General features: G+C 46.4%; 1 protein-coding gene across 12 annotated transcripts in view; it reads left to right on the top strand.

Annotated features, from left to right (window-relative positions):
• The window catches only part of GFRA1 (GDNF family receptor alpha 1), a 217,781-nt gene that overhangs the window by 160,367 nt on the left and 40,654 nt on the right, over nucleotides 1-16,760 (top strand). The window lies entirely within an intron of this gene.

The raw sequence follows: 16,760 nt of genomic DNA, 5'->3' as shown, positions 1-16,760 counted from the left end.
TATTGGCACACAGATACACAGTAAGATGTGAGCAGAGCTGGCTCTGAGACTGCTGGGCACAGAGTGGGGAGATTCACTATTGTCTGGACTGAATAGGCAGTGGGAGCCCTCTGGCAGCCTCTTGGCCACGTGCTTCTTCTGTGACCTGGAGTAACTGTGAATAAGGGGCTCTCAGAGGTGCTTATGTCTGAGTCAGTGATGTGAGGGATCCAGCAAAGGGCAGCCACTGACTCAGTGAGACTGAATCCATGGCCCCCTCCCTCTGGATGTTTCCATGTTGTGAATCACCCCATCTTCCCCTTAGGAAGCAAAGCCACACCCGGGGGCAGAGTTGCTCGTCATATAGGACTCAGGGAGCTTAGAATGCACAGAGCCGGGGACATGGTTGTAGGAACGAGTGGATGGCGGTGACGGTGGTGCGGGTGATGATGAGGCGAGCAACACGTACTTGGCATTTACTTTGTGCCAGGCCCTGGGCTGAGCTCTTTGCAGCAACCTTGGAAGTGGGAGCTGTCGTTACCCTCCCTGTCACTGGATGAGGAGGTGAGATCTTGAACAACTTCCACATCACCCAAGTGGTGCCGCTGGAACCAAAGGCAATGAATTATGCAGCAGGTGCAGCCCCTCTCTGCTGTCCCACTCCATAGTCAAGGAACCCAGAGGGTCTGTGGGGCTGCGGAGCTCATGTTGCCGAATGCCGCACTGCCCATTTCTGTACACAATGTGCCTGTCTTGTAAACCACCCACAGAACTTCCAGAGACACCCAGGGAGAGTGGAATTGGATACCGGTGGTGACTTTACTTCTTATTTATGTTAAAACAAAAATTTTAAAGTAAGGGACCTTTGGATCTTGTCAAGATAGGGCTTAAGTGCTCTTTGGCAAACATAGTTCATTTATCATTAAAACCGCGGGTTTCAAACTTTTTGGTTTCTGGACTCCTTTATGCTCTTAGAAAATTACTGAGGATCTCAATGGGCTTTTGTTTATGTGGGCTAAATCTATAGGTACTTACCACACTGGATTGCAGGTGAAAAGAGGTTTACATATTTATTACTTCATTTAAAAATAACATCGAGCAGCTCATTACATGTTACCATAAATAACAGAACATACTTTTATTAACAATCACTATATTTTCCAAAAAAAAAAAAATTAGGGAGAAGTGTGGCATTGTTTTTACATTTTTACAAATTTAGCATCTGGCTGGAAGGTGGCTGGGAGAGAGAGAGAGAAAAGTCATTAAGGTCTTAGTATGACTAAGAAAATAGTTATGGTCTCACTGACCCCCTACGAGGTTCCCTGAGACTGCCAGGATCCCTAGACCTCGCTTTGAGAACTGCTGTGCTAGATGGACCAGAGTAATCTTGGGCTGGAAGACTTGTGTGTGCACCAGCGCTCCTGAGGTCTCGTTGAACCAAGACAGTCTGGGGTGTGCGCCTGCCTTGCGCCCAGCTCGTTTAGCCACAGTGGGTCAGGATGCTGAGGCTGTGGGATGTCTGCCCCAGCCAAGCGCTGGAGCCCCTCCAGGTGGAAATGGGTTGAGTAATTAGAGAACCTTGGAGCATCTACCGTCAGCTGTGCGGTCGCTCCGGGGCTGCTTGGCAGGCTGGAGCACTGAGCCCAGCTTGGTTTCTTGCTCTGAGAGATGCCCTCCTGACAGCTCCTTTGTAGATGGTTCCTCTCTTTTCTAGCATGCCAAAGGATTTCACCATCATATTCAGCTCAGTCAGGCAGAACTCTGGGCTGCTGTGTAAAAACCCTTTGTGTCCAGAAGGGTTCAGTGGAGCTTTTCTCTTACCAAGTAGGGGCTTGGGGAGAGTGCCACAGGGCAACCTCTGGTGCTTAGAATGCTGGCTGGTGCCTTGATGTGGGCCATCTCAGGGGCAGCCCCCCTCTGCTCTTTCTGATATGTAATCATTTGCCACAGGGAGAACTAAATGATGACAATGACAGTGTCCCTGGGCTAACCCTTAGAATCGGAAAAGCCGGCAAGCTGGAAGTTTCAGGTCCCGGGAAGCACCCAGCAGTCGGAATTCCTATTGGAGAGTTAGCTGGCTTCATCTAACAGCTTGGAGAGGGAATGCCACCTCTCCAAGAACGTTCACTCCAGCAAAGGAGCTTGACACTGTCCCAGGAAACCTTTCAGTGGAAATAAGGCAAAATCGAATGGACAAAATCGAATGGAAATAAGACAAAATCTTTCACACTCAAAAATTCAAGCTCAAACATGTTTAGCTACAAATACAGTATTATGGCTTGAGAACATTTGCTTTTTTCCTATTGGACCAGCTGGTGTTTTGTCATTGCTGGAGATTGGTTTGTTCACTGGTTCAGTAGGACCAGACTTCCAGGTGCTCTGTAGGGCCCCGAGGGCCAGAGATGAGGGAGGCGCCTGTGCCCACAGAGCGCACATGCAGGGACAGTCACCGGTGCTGTGCCAGCCCAGCCTCGTGGGGAAGGGTGGGCTCAGGGACTTCTCAGAGGCGCCTTTGCTCTGGGGCCGTGGATCTCCAGCTTTTGCCTGTGTTGGGATTTGTTTTCTATTCATGAGGTCTAGGGTGAGGCCTGAGAATTTGCATTTCTAAAGCATTCCCAGTGCTGCTGCTGCTGGTCTGGGCTTACCATTCCCTGCTGCCTTAGAGAATGTTGGCCAGGTGATCTAGGCTGATGGCTTCACCCTCCTCTCAACTGGGTCTGCAAAGCTGAAAATGAGGAGTAGGCACCAGATGGGAGTAGGCTTAGGGGAGGACACAGGAGAGGGAGCCCCTGCTGTGGCTGGGTGTGGGCTGGCAGCCCAGGTCGGATATGGGGCACAGAGGGCGCATCGCAGCCCAGGAATTCATAGCTGCGGGCAGGGACAACACATGGAAAGCTTCCATGCTGCATTAAGGTTGGGCTTTATTTGGAAGGCTGTGGGGACCACTGGAAGGGCTCTATTGCCTGCTGATAGTTCTTCAGACACAAAGGATACTGAGACAAGCTGATGGTATCTCTAGTCACTGCCTGGGCTGGCCCCACTGCAGTTGGGACCTTGCCCTCACTGCACATGAAGAAGTAGACAGTCTGTTGTCTCTAAGTTGACCTTGGCCTCAGATTGGAATCCGTTTGGCTGGGTTATACCTGAAAATGCAAAGCAAAACACAGGGTTTTAAGGTAATTAAATCTTCTTCCTAAAATGGCCTTTGGAGCAGTCTTTGGCCTGGGCTATTCGAATAAGGAAGCTGCCATGTTTGCTCCACTCTTCTTGTCACTTTTTGCATGTAGAAGCACCCTTGGTTGTCAGGAGGGAACGTGGGATGGACAGGGTCTATCCTCAGTGCCTGCGGTGGAGCTAGGATGCAGATGACTCAAGCAAACACACGTGTGTTCAAGATCCAAAAGTGCTGTGATTCTGTGAACCAAGGTTGCTATGAACCCTTGCCTGTACAAGTACATGGTACATCTCACCCCTCAGTCCACAGATGGGTCATAGGCAAGGGCAGGTGGTAGATGCAGGTGGTAGGAGGTTGGATTCCATATCCTAAAGGGACTGCACCTTCTCCTTCTTTGTTCCTGTCCCACCATGGCCACCACCTTTTACACAGCATCTTACATTGTGGGTGCTTAGTGATCATGGTAATTGAACGGTTTGTTGCCTTTTGAACCCTGGGCCAGGCATGTGCTAGGTGCCAGGCTACAAAGCTGAAGATGAACAGTCTCTGTCCTGGGTTCCTGCATGCTGAGGTATTTTATGAGTCCATCCTGGAAGCCTTGGGCTGAGAACTCTCTCTAGGTGGCTCCCCAGTATTCCTAGGCTTAGAGAAAGCCGGAAGGGGTGTGTTCTGGTGTATAAGAGATGCCACCAAATACTGCCTGTGCATGGGATTTTATTACCAACCCATGAGGGAGAGTGTCCTCTCCTACTGGTGGGCAGGAACCCTGATGTCAGACTAAACCCCAGCTGCCCTGCAGGCGTGTTTCTTCTCTCTGCATCTCAGTCTCCCTGCATGTAAAACACAGACACTACCAGCACCTCCTCCACAGGCAGTGGTGAGGATTAAAGCCCATAGCCCAGTGCCTGGCACAGAGTTTAATGCTCAGTGAAATCCCTTGTCATCATGGGCAGCAGAGGGTACTGACCTCAGATGCATCCAGAACTTAGCTGAAGTCTCATCCCCCTGCCAGGTCAGGTTCCCAGGCTGAGGATTCCAAAGTCTGCCTGATTCCTCTGCACTTGACCCCTCTTGGGAAGGAGGCGACACCTGCTGCATCCCTGCCTCTCAGGGCTGTGGTTGGAGAGAGGCAGCGGGCACAGGGAGCACCTTGAGTGTGGTAACAGCAATATTCACAGCTAGCACTTCACTGAGCACTGAACTCTGTGCCAGACACTGGGATATGGGCTCTAATCCTCACCCCTGCCTGTGGAGGAGATACTGGAAGTGTCTGTGTTTTATACAGGGGGAGACTGAGATGCAGAGAGACCAGACACCCCTGCAGGGCAGTTGGGATTTGGCCTGACATTGGCACTCATGCCCACCAGCTCTGGGAAGGTTCTGCACATATGTCTGCTCTTCCAGGGCAGGTCCCCATGATGGTCGTCCCGGCCAGGCCAGCCCCTACTGGGTCACTCTGTCTCCAGCCTCAGGAGTGGTCCCTGCGGTGAAGGAAGGCTGCTTGGGGATGCGGGTTTCTCCCCGTGGGCCCGGGGAGCCCTACTTCTCAGTGTATGGGGAAGACTTTTGTGTCCTCACTTCTTGACTTCTGGGTGCCCTCTGGGGGAACACAGCCCGGGGAAGGGGTGCCCAGAGAGGCAAGGCCTAGGCCCAGATGATTTCCCCTCCTAGCTGTGTCGCAGGACTGCATTTGAGCCCTACTGAACAGTAACAACAGATATTATTTTTTTTATGTTTTTAAGCTACAAGCGCTATTAACCAAAAAGAATGCCCACTAATTCTGTCATTCTTTTATTGGGCCTAGTAAAGATCACATATCCACCTAAATCAGATTTGGGCTTCTGCAGCACATACTTCACATTAAAATGGCAGCCAAAGTCCAAGAACTAAAATGAAAAGAGGGAACATTAATTCTTTTTCAGTGCTGTGCGGGTGCGTATGAGCTCAAGAAGCTGCGGCTTCTTTCCAAAACCTGGCTCTGACTCTGGCCTGCTCCATGACTTTGGGCTGGTCGTGGACCTCTCTGGGACCTCGTGTCCTCAACTGTAAAATAAGGCAAACCTGGCTAGTACGGTTACTGCTCAAAAATGACACAGGTTTGAAAGCACTGGGCACAGTGACAGGTTCTATGTGAATGTAGTTGGAGCATTTAGAGTTGGGCTGCTGCTGTTTCTCCTCTGCACCTGTTAATGTTGCTGAACCTTCAGCACCAAGTGTCCGTGATGAGTGTTGAGCTGTAGGTGATTGGAGCCTTACTCTATGGCAGTCAGATTCGTTCATTCATTAACTCATTTATTCAACAGTTATTTAAAGAATACCTGCTCTGTGCAAGGCATAATTCTAGGTGCTCTCCTTCTCTGCCTGGTGTAGGCAAGACCATCAGCAACGTGAAGATATAGAATAGAAAGTGACGGAGATGAGGTGTGGGCAGCAAGGCTGAAGCTGGCACCCTGCTCGGGGCGCAGAGCCAGTGAGGGGACTTGGTGGGAGGGCTCTGGGAGAGCTTTGAGATCACCGTGAATGGGTTAAAATAAGCCTTGGGATCACTCGGCTGGGAGGAGATGTGGAGGGGTCAGTTTATTAGAAAATGGCTTATGTGGACCCTGGAAATCAGCTTCTTTGCCCTAAAGAAATAAAAAAAGGAGAAACATTAAATGCAGCACTAAGAGCTTTAGTTAAAATGTAGAAAATGGGGTTGGGGCTGAGGTGCTGTTGACAAGAGGATGCTGAGTGTGAGAATGGGTTGCTAATAGGAGTTACGGAATTTCCCCAAAAGGGGAAATTGCCATCTGGTGACAATGGAGTGATTTATTCATTTGACGTCTAATGCCACAATTCCCTGTCTCCTGAGCAATAGTGATATTCTCAATGCCCTATCTAAGAAGGAAGATATTAGGAACTAGTTGTTTGCTAAGCTCAAAGTCTCTGTTGACCTTACTACAACTTTCCTGAAAGAAAAATGACCTAGTGTATATTTACTATTGAATATAATTTTCCTTAGGAAGTCTGCAAGCCTATTAAAGATTAATAGGGAATCTCATTTTCATGTGTTTCTGTTTAAAGCGAACTTGTGCAAGTGTAGGTTGTTAGCCATTCAGAAATCCATTCACCACCCCCTTTCCCCACCCCCTCCCAGGGCTCTCAGAAACTAGGCTCCTTTAATGAGTGGAAGGTAAATTAATATTCCAAGGCACGGAACTTGGGGCTTATGCACCCAGAGATATTTAGCTCTTGTCGTTTGGGGACTGGAGAAAGTAGGGGGTTTCACAAATTATTAAAGTCAAGAGAACCCATGCCATTTTAATTCTGCATATTCTGGGAACCTCCAAAGAAGCAAAGTTTGACTGAGGAAGACCAGGTAGCATTAGGGATAATTTCTATAATAATTTACCTGTGTTTTTTCCTAAGCTCATTAGAGTTCAGTTCCTCTGACTATAAACATCAAGATGCTGTGATACTTACCTCAACACTTCCTTCTGAGGGTACAGACAGCACCTTCTTAAATGAACACAGGCTTGATGCTTCAATTGCCAGACCAGTAGAGGGTCCACAGGTAGTGGCCTGTAGAATTGCTTAGACCTGTTTAGGGAGTATGATTTCATTGGTCTATAAAAAAAAGGGAGTATGATTTCATTGGCCTATAAAAACTTGAGGATGTTTGAAGACTCACAGGAGTAATTTCTCTTTGGTCTTAATGGTGGGAATAAAGCTGATATTCATCATGACTTTCCTGAACACATGAAGACCTTAAAAAAGGGGATCAATTGTCCTTAGGACAAAGCATTTCATATGCCAAGTTATTTGATGAATTCTAAGGGAATTCATCCAGCATGGTCATCTCTCCCTAGGATTTCATAAGGTCTCAGGGTCAGTGTGGACCCCCTGGGCTGGTCCAGAGAAGAAGAGAAGACACCAGCTGTGATGAGGTACTGTTCCTCTAGGAATCAGGAATAGATGTCAACAGGTGCTAAGGTGCCAGGTATATTTAACCCTACCAGGAACATTTTGAGGGACTTATTATCATTCAGCCTGAGTATATTAGGTGTGTTAGGACATTCTTGCATTGCTATAAAGAGATAACCTGAGGCTGGGTAATTTATAAAGAAAAGGGGTTTAATTGGCTCATGGTTCTACAGGCTGTACAGGAAGCATGGTGCTGGCATTTGCTCAGCTTCTGCAGAGGCCTCAGGAACCTTATAATCATGGCAGTAGGCAAAGCGATTGCCGGTGTCTCACATGGCAAGAGCCAGAGCAAGAGAGAGAGTGGAGGAAGGAAGAGGTGCCACACACTTTTAAATAACTGACCTCCCAAGAACACTATCACAAGGACAGCACCAAGCCATGAGGGATCTGTCCCTGTGTCCCAGACACCTCCCACCAGGCCCCACCTCCAACACTGGGAGTTCCATCTCAACATGAGATTTGGAGGGGATGTCCAAACTATATCAAGTGGTGAAAGATGGAAGACAGGAACGAGATAATTCCTTTGAGAGTCCGAAAGTATTCCTCATGCAGACATGTCACATGATCGGAGCAGAACCAAGAGAAAGTGGAGGGAGGTGCCACACACTTGTAAAAGATCAGATCTCACAAGAACCTACTCGCTACCCAAGAGGGTGGTGCTAAACCATTCATGAGAAGTCTGCCCCCAGGATCCAATCACCTCCCACCAGGCCCCACCTCCAACACTGGGGATCACGTTTCAGCGTGAGATTTGGGTGGGGACACACGTCCGAACTATATCACTAGGCTTCAGAGAAGCTAAGATACTTGCCCAGAATGTCATGGCTAGTAAGCGATTGAGCTGAAATTTAAGTCCTAGTACATGTTCAAGTTCTGTATGAAAACCCCCTACTGTTTACTGCTTTTTAGTAGTCTTTTAGTTTTCTATTGGTGCTGTTAACAAATTACCACAAACTTCAAACAACACACATTTATTCTCTTACTGATCTATAGGGTCAGAAGTCTGACTCGGGTCTCACTGGGCTGAAATCAAGGTGTCAGCAGGGCTGAGTTCTTTCTGGAGGCTGCAGAGGAGAATCCATTTCTTTGCCTTTCCCCACGCAGGCTCATGGCCCCTTCCTCCATTTTCAGAACCAGCAAGGGCCAGGTGGAGTCTCACATGACATCACGATGACACCCTCACTTGCCTCCCTATTCCACTTTTAAAGACTCCTGTGATTCTATTGGTCCTACCGGGAAAATCCGGGATACTCTCCCTACCTCAAGATCCATGACCATAATTATATCTGCAAAGTCCATTTTGCCATGAACTGTAATGGTCTCAGGTTTTAGGAATTCAGGTCCAGATGCCTTTGAGAGCCTACCCAAAGGTAGGCATTCTGCCTGCCGCAAGCAGTTTTTCTTCTGAGCATCTATCTTGTTTTTAATTTGGGGGTATCATGAGCTAGTTGTGGAATTAGTTATGAATATCTTAACCCCCTTCCCAGTGGTTGCTGGAAATCTCTGAACCAAATATGTAGTTTTCATCCAGCCAGGGGCATGTGTACATTTTGTACTAGCTAAACCACTGCCTCTATCTTACCTTTCTGTGGTCCCCAATTCTCTCACTAATTTTTATATTCTGCCACATCACAGCTACATCTGAAGGCACTTCAAAATTCCTTCTGAAGACAGGGTGTGCGTAAATAATTAAATGAAGCCATGGTGGATGACCTTTGCTGCCCAGGATTCCTGAGCAGTTGACATGGAGCCTCTTAGCGTTCCAGAATAAATACCAGGCGACTTCAGGCATTTACTTCCGAAGGTGGAGGTGCTGCTGAATTCTCCATGAAGCAAGCTCACACTGTGTTGGTCTAGAGTTTTAAGGTGTGGTTCTGCTGGTGAAAGATTCATTGAACATCTAGATTTCCATTTTTTCTTGTGGCCAAAAGCCACAAAACTGATTTCTAAAGTTTGCCTGCAGAAATATAAAAGACTTATTGGATAAGGTTTACTCTTAAAGAGTTTTAACATATTTGTCACCTGCAGTTATCCCACTGAATATCTGAGAGCTTTATGATCCTTTCATCATCCACAAAACTTTCCATTTCTTTTCTTCTTCAATTTCTTCCCTTAAAAACAAGTACTACCAAAGCTAAAGCTAGGTTTTCTGTGTGAATGGACATAGCATAGTATGGGTAATATAAAACAATTTTATTTGATTTCGTGATGCAGCACAGGGTTGTTGGAGATCTTTCTGTGCTCCCATTACTACTTAGAGTTTTCTTGTACCATGACCATCAGTTTGCGCATTGGGATAAATAGGTGGAGGGCAGTGGATTCCTGGCAAAAGGGCAGTTCAGGGACATCTGATCTAAGGCTGCTGAAAGCCCCTTGCAAGTTGGAATGGATTTTCTTGCCAACTACCATGACTTGCTTTTCAAATTTGCCAGGTAGAGAGTACCTGTCAAGCCCTGTCAACTGCTCTGTCAATGTTGACTGATGGCTGTCAATGTTCATGCAAGGTGGCTTCGGGAGGGATGCCAAAATTGATCAGATGCCAACCTAGACTTCCCTCGGGGGGCTACTGCAGTTTGATGCAATCAGAAAGGCTAAGGAAGCATCACCTCTGTGCCCTGCAGCCTGCTTTTGCTGAACCCTCAACCTGCAGAGATACCCAAGGCAGGACGCAGGGACTGAAATAATGGGGGATTCCATCTGCATCGCCGGAACTCCATTCTCAGCCCATGAAGCTTTGCCAGAGCCCCTGTGAGTCAGGCTCAGAGTGCAGTGACAGCAGCCTCCATGGCCCATGTGCTGGGCAAACCACAAGGAGAACCCTCGCAGCCAAGAGCTGCCAAGGAGCCAGAGGAGCAACAGTGATCGGGGAAGCCCCATGTATCAGGATGAGGCTGAGCAGGGATTTGAGGGGAGCAGGAAATGATCTGTACTTGGCCACAGGGGCCTTTCTGTCCCAGGAAACAAAGGCATTAGGAAAGGCTTGAAGGCTGCTTAGACCTTATGGTATTGTTTCTCACCAACATGTGGCCGCTGTCTTGCTAAACTGCCATACGCACATCAGTTGGCGAGGCTTTAATAATCCCACTACCAGTGGGAACCTGTGTTAAGGGGCTGATGAATGCAAGATGCACAGAGCTTTGCGCATCTGCACCTGGGGCATGTGGACCTCCCCAGACCCTTTGCGTCTCCACACTCAGTCCTAGGTGGGGAGAGAATCGCAGCTCAGCTCCTCAGCTCCCCAGCTCCGCAGCTCCGTAGCCTACTCCTAGGCAAATACTAGGCCTTTGCTCCAGGAAGCCAGATGCACAGCCCAGACAGCAATAGCAACACAAAATAACACCCCCTGCAAAATGTATTTAATACAGGCCCTGGTTTCCTGAAGGATGCTTTCCAGATGTGTGTTACAGCAGACTGAGGGAGAATAGGGGCTAAGGTAATTTTCTAAAAACAGAAAGAGGAAAAATCTGTTTTGTGTCACTATACCAGACAATTACCTTTCCAGTGTTTTAGCCTTTTCATTCCTGGTCTAATATTAGCAGCATGTTTTTCTAATTGTTTTTATTCTGCAAAAGGTATTAGCAGTTTTAACAAACTTACTGATATTTAGTCCTTTTAAAAATATATCCCTTTGCTCTAAGTCCCTGGGAAAAAGTAGCTTTTCTTAAAGTGCCTTTATTTTATGAGTTCATGTAACAGAGAGGCTTTAAGTAACACCACAGATTCCTCACTTCAGACTTCTCAAATTTGTTTTGGTCAAAGTTGATGCCTTTAGTTACATAGATGTAGCATGTTGAAAGTATGTAATATAAGGGCCACCAAAGATAGACTAAGACACAGTGTATGTTTCTCTTTATTGAGCTTGTTGTGTGTTTTTCCAGCAAAGGCTGAACATTAGAATGAACCAGGAATTGGGGAGAACATATGAAGGGATAGAAGTAAAAATTTTGGGGGCAACTGGTGTATTCTGGGTTCTGGGTGAGGAGCTTTATATAATTGTCATTTAAGTCTCACAGCAGACATTTAAAGTGACTGTACATAGCAACTGGTATGGCACCACAGCACTGGTGCCATTTTCCAGGTAAGGAAACTGAGACTTGGAGAAGTTGAATAATTTGCTAAGATGTGAGAGGCTGCGTGAAAAGTGGAGCTGGGATTAGACACAAGATTGTGTCACTCCCAAGCCTGTGCATCTTCTTATCTACCATACTTTCTTTCCTCTAACTGACCCACTGAGAAAGCTTTCAGAAACTAAATGGTTTGAAGTGAAAGCCAAGACTTTGAATCTCTAATGTCCACGTTGGGTTTAGAGAAACACTCCAGCGACTTATACAAGTAGATTGATAAGGGGATCCTGTCCCAAAGTTCTGGGTTTCTCCTGAGTGGTCGATATGGTCTGGCTGTGTCCCCACCCAAATCTCATCTTGAATTGTAGCTTCCATAATTCCCATGTGTTGTGGGAAGGACCCAGTGGGAGATAATTGAATCATGGGGGCAGTTTCCCCCGTACTCTTCTCATGGTAGTGAATAAGTCTCATGAGATCTGATGGTTTCATAAGGGGAAACCCCTTTTGCTTGGTTCTCATTCTTCTCTTGCCTGCCACCATGTAAGATGTGGCTTTCACCTTCTGCCATGATTGTGAGACCTCCGCACCATGTGGAACTGTGAATGCATTAAACCTCTTTTTCTTTATAGATTATCCAGTCTCAGGTATGTCTTTTTCAGCAGCATAAAAACGGACTAATACAGTGGTCAAGCCCTGCAGTGCTGTGCAGTCCCTGGTGGGGTACAACAGACTCCTTTATAAAGGGGGGCCTAATTCACTGATAGACTCACTACCCTCTTGTCCCATCTGCATCCTCTGGCGCCTGCTGTGCTCTTGCAATACATTCAAAGTACCCGTCATGTCTCTAAGGCCTGTGGAACATTAGGAAGAACAATGTAGTCAATGGTGGCAGGGGAAAGCAGGTATACACTTGATGACTGTAATACAATCCCAGAGAAATTAAAGTCAGCCCCCACACTTCTACCCTTCAGAGCCATTATGGGCGGTTGGCAGTTCCTGTTCCTGTGAATGCCATCTGTGGCCACCTGCCATGTGACTCTGAGCAAGGCTTAATCTCTTTGGCCCTCAGCTGTCTTGTATGTGAGACAAGGGATCCACTAGAAGAATCTTATTCTCAAGACTCGAAGAAAACCAAGTCCCTTGACACTGAAATCATAACAGTAGGATGGAATATGGGTAAGAATAATAATGCTATGAAAACAAGTGGGTTTTCCACCCCTCTACATTGATTGCTTTGAGCATTCCATAGACTGTATTTCTGAGGTGGAAGGGAAAGCTAGGAGCTTAAACATGAAGCAACGCACTCAGGAACTTTGGTTCATGAGTCGGAGCCTGGATCCCATTCAACATCTTACAATTCTCAGTCCAAGGCTCAATTCCACCAACCACGTGTCTTATGTCCAAGTATGGGATTTGTTCTGGAAGAATATTTAAAGGATTATGGTAATCCAGGATGGGTTAAATTGGGCATTACTGGTATGTTTTTACCTGTTTTCCATCACACTACTTTCCTAAAACTGTTGCAGAGAAAGTAGGTAAATAATTTTCTCCCCACTGTCAGAAGACCATCTGCTGTTTGAGACAATTCTCCTAGATATTATTATTATTATAATTTTTCTATTTCCAATTAGCAGCGTACTTCCTTTAATATGATGCTTTCTGCATAAACCATGGTTTCTGCAGATTTCCTAAGGCCATCTTGGTATTTTGTCTGCCTTTTCCTCTTCTTTAAGGGTGGGAGATTTTCTCTTACTGAGAGCGATACATTTCTACATTAGTACCTATTCATTTCCTTTTCATTTTCTCGGAGAAAAACAATCAGAGCTCATCATTGCTGTCGTCATGGAGATTTCATGTCTCCAGAAGAAATCCAGTTGAGGAGTTTCTTTGTTAATCCCATACTGGACATTCAAGCTTTCTTGTTTGTATCCCAGCAGCCCAGGCAGGGAAGCCATTGACATTGATTACAGTGTGATTCATAACCCAGGGTGGGCAGGGGAAAGTGTGTGCAGAAGGAGCTGTCCTGGGGCACTGGAGCTGTGCATACAGTAGGTGCTCAGGCTGCAGTTGGTGACTGGACAGAAGCAGCAGCCAGAGCTCTAACAACATGTCAGCATCTTGGCTGTCCACAGCATCAGGAACTCAACACAGCCACCGCCAGCCTCATTATCTTCCTGGTAAACCTGTCCTCCCCCATCTTTCCCACCAGGGCCCCACTGTCTGCTGAGCTGTCCTCCTCTCGATTCTGTTCTCACCCCTCCAGTCCGAAGTTTTGACTTTCATTCTATTGATATCCACATTTCCGGGCATCCTCCTTTCTTTCTCCTCTTCCGGCCCTCGGTTCTTTGCTCTGGTTCATGGCCACGGTCTCCTAGGGAACCACCCCTTCCCCTCCTGGCAAATTTCTTGCTCTTCCCATTGCTGCTGGAACAGTGAGGGCACACAGTAGGTCTGAAGCATATCTTTGCCGAACAATGGTGAGATCGAAGAGTCTTCCTAATATGCAAATCTGATCATGTTACTTCTCGGGTTTAAAATCCTTCAGTGGCTTCCACTGCTTTTAAGATAAAAACCTAAACCCTTGGATCATTCAAAGGCTTTCAAGACCTCATCAGCATATTTTCCCATCACTACTCATTTGATCTTGTGGCCTGGGCATCCTGAGTGAGTGACCAGTGATGTTCTGGGCGATGCACCTGTTAAGTGCAGCAGTTGAGAATGATCTCCGGCTCTGGCATCAGATTGAATGTGGTCATGTTCTAGCTCCATCACAGAGTTCTGCAACCTAGAAGGAGTTGCTTAAAGGCTCCGTGCCTCGGTTTCCTCATCTGTAAAATGGGCTTGATTGGAAGTATCACCTAATAAGGTTGTTGTGAGAATCCAATGTATGAATACATGTTAAGTCGTTAAATCAGTACCTGGCATGTACAAATACTTCGTAGTTGTTATGCAGGTCTTACTGTGAGTGTGATTACTTTATACTTTGCTGCTTCCTTCTGTCTGGAATACCCTGCTCTACCTGTACCTAACCAATTCTACCCATCCTTTAAGTCTCAGTCCCAATATCACAGCCTCTTGGAAACCAGCTTCTGCAGCTGTGTAATAGTAAAACCTTAAGTGGTAGAGTCAGAATGTATGACTTTAAATCCTCGTTCTGCTACTGACTCTTTTATTCTAGTCTAACCTCACTAAGCCTTGGTTTCCTTGACTACAGAATTAGGATAATAAAATAACAATAACAATTATTTTGCTGTCATACAAAGTAAAAGTTTGTAAAGATATACCTAACATGTACTGAACACTTCATTCATGCTAGGTATTGTTTTAGCGGCCATTCATTCTTACCTTTTATCAAGAACAAATCACTGTATTATAATAATCTTTTTACTTGTTTTTCTTGGCACCTAGATTGTGGGTTATATAAGTTCAAGGACAGGGTCTTTTTCATCATTATATCATGGCACTTGACACATCAGTCAGTGGGATGGACAGGAATCCAGCTGTTGTGTCAATACATGTGACCATTTGCATGCATAATTTAGGAGATGTTAGAGGATTGTGATGGTAGGAGAAGGAGATGTTGGGCAGGAAGGATGTTTTAGTGGGATGGGGGAGTGGAGCTCTTTTCTTTCTTTGGAAAGTACTGAAGACCAGAGGTTAATTGCTATTGCCCCATTTCATTTGGCACAAGGGTGACTGGGGATGGGAGAGGAAGCCTGTCCCAGAAGGGTTGGGACTCAACTGGAGACATGATGCATGCTTTATCAGTGGGATTTACTAACATCATACTGGTTCTTAAATAGAGACGTGCCAGTAAATATTTAACAACCAGTGCTCCAAGAACAACACAAAGCCCTGATTTATAGTGTTTGCTGGTTACCGTGGTGTAAATCCCTCCACCATGGCCACTTTCAAACTACCACTGCAATGTTATTAACCAACCTGCAAAATTCCTGAAATTGTACCAACTCACCAGTGATGAGCTGGCCCCAGCATAGCGCTGTATAAACTTCTTACTTCAGTGTTTCCATCCGTAACATGTGAATCCTATAATGTGAGTATCCTGTCTCCAAGTATAGCTGCCAGGGGGAGGTGGTCAAATGTGATAAAACGTGGAAATGTTAGTGTTTTAACAGTGCCTCATGTGCTCACCCTTACATCAAAACTCTCTTCCCATCCACTGGCTGTGGGTCATAGGGCCAGGATATGTGCCGATGATCTCTCAAAAAGCAGCCTGTCCAGAGTTCTGCTCAGAGCAGTATATTTTGTTTTATCCTCCCAATCGGGGCTATGCTTTCTACAGCAGACTGACTCAATTAGCCTTTCATTCCAGAGTCCAATTGTGAGTCAATTCCGAGGTTGTTAAGCAAAATGAGTCTGGTGGCATTAGTCTCTCGCTGAAGGACAGTAATCCTCATCACAGTGTTGTTCAGTTAATAGTCTGCTGGAGAGACTGTGAGAAACAGGAGATGTGGAGAGGGAGCGACCTTTTGTCTTGTCTCTGGGGGACAGGCCGGGAGCATTGGGCTGCCAGGTCAGAGAGCTGTTCAGCAGCCAGGTTGTGTGCAGAACCGGAGCCCCAGCTGCCTGAACTTGCAGTTGGCCTTTGCAAAGTTAGAAACCCAGTGTCACTAGATCATTAACTTTCATGACCAGGAAAATTCTTTTGAAATTAACACTCAATCCAAGCTGGATGCCATTGGAGCCAGTTGAGTAAGCCCGAGCCATCTTTAGGGATTTCCTCTGAAAAACGAATCCTTTAGCCAGGCTACAGAAAATAGGCAGGTTTTATATCTTTCAGTGTGTTCAATTAAAGTCAGGAAACACCAGCAAGGCACGGACCGTGGTTGCCACTCAGGTGCGTACACACGCGCACACCCCAGCCACATTCGCAGGATTTTGCCAAAGCACTTAGCTTCGGCACATGGCCCTGTCTGGGGAGACTTATACAGGAGCTCTCTGAGGAGTGTCAGGTGCTGTGCAAAGGAAATAAAGCAGATCTCCAGCATCTGCTCCGGGCATTCACTGCAATGGAGTCAGGTCCCCAGAACATAGAGAGCACACAAGATGGGATCAGATAGGGAAGCCTGGGCAAGCCTTGTTTACAAGGGTTCAAGGAGAGAACCCCACACAAACATGCCTTTGCAGCGAACTGCGGTCTTGGATAATTCCATCAGGTCTTTGAATGCCCTTTCTAGTTAAAATTGCAGGAAAGGGATGCATAATGCGCTTCCTTAGAAACCTTTGTGATCCCCACACATCCTATCCGTCTTGGTTCCACCAAACCAAACTCGTTTATATCATAAAGTGTGCCAAGAAAATACAGTCTCTTAGGTGGAAAGAAGTAAAACAGCTCTGGTTATGTCAACAGCCAATTCTGGGGTGAGCTAAAGACAGAAGAGAACTGAGACAGCCTCCCATTGTCTCCCATAATTGCCAGATAATTTAAATTCTTGTGAAGTCCATTGTGTTCTTCCATAGAAACAGAGCAGTTGTCTGCCGAGATGACCTCAGAGGTGGCCCAGCTCTCATTCAGGATTTCTCCAACAGTATCCTCTTCAGATGGAAAAACAGCCAGT

This window comes from Homo sapiens, chromosome 10 (genome assembly GCF_000001405.40).
Source record: "Homo sapiens chromosome 10, GRCh38.p14 Primary Assembly".
NCBI classification, from domain to species: Eukaryota; Metazoa; Chordata; class Mammalia; order Primates; family Hominidae; genus Homo; species Homo sapiens.
Note: the sequence above shows the minus strand (reverse complement) of the source record. Positions and strands in the feature narration are given on the sequence as shown.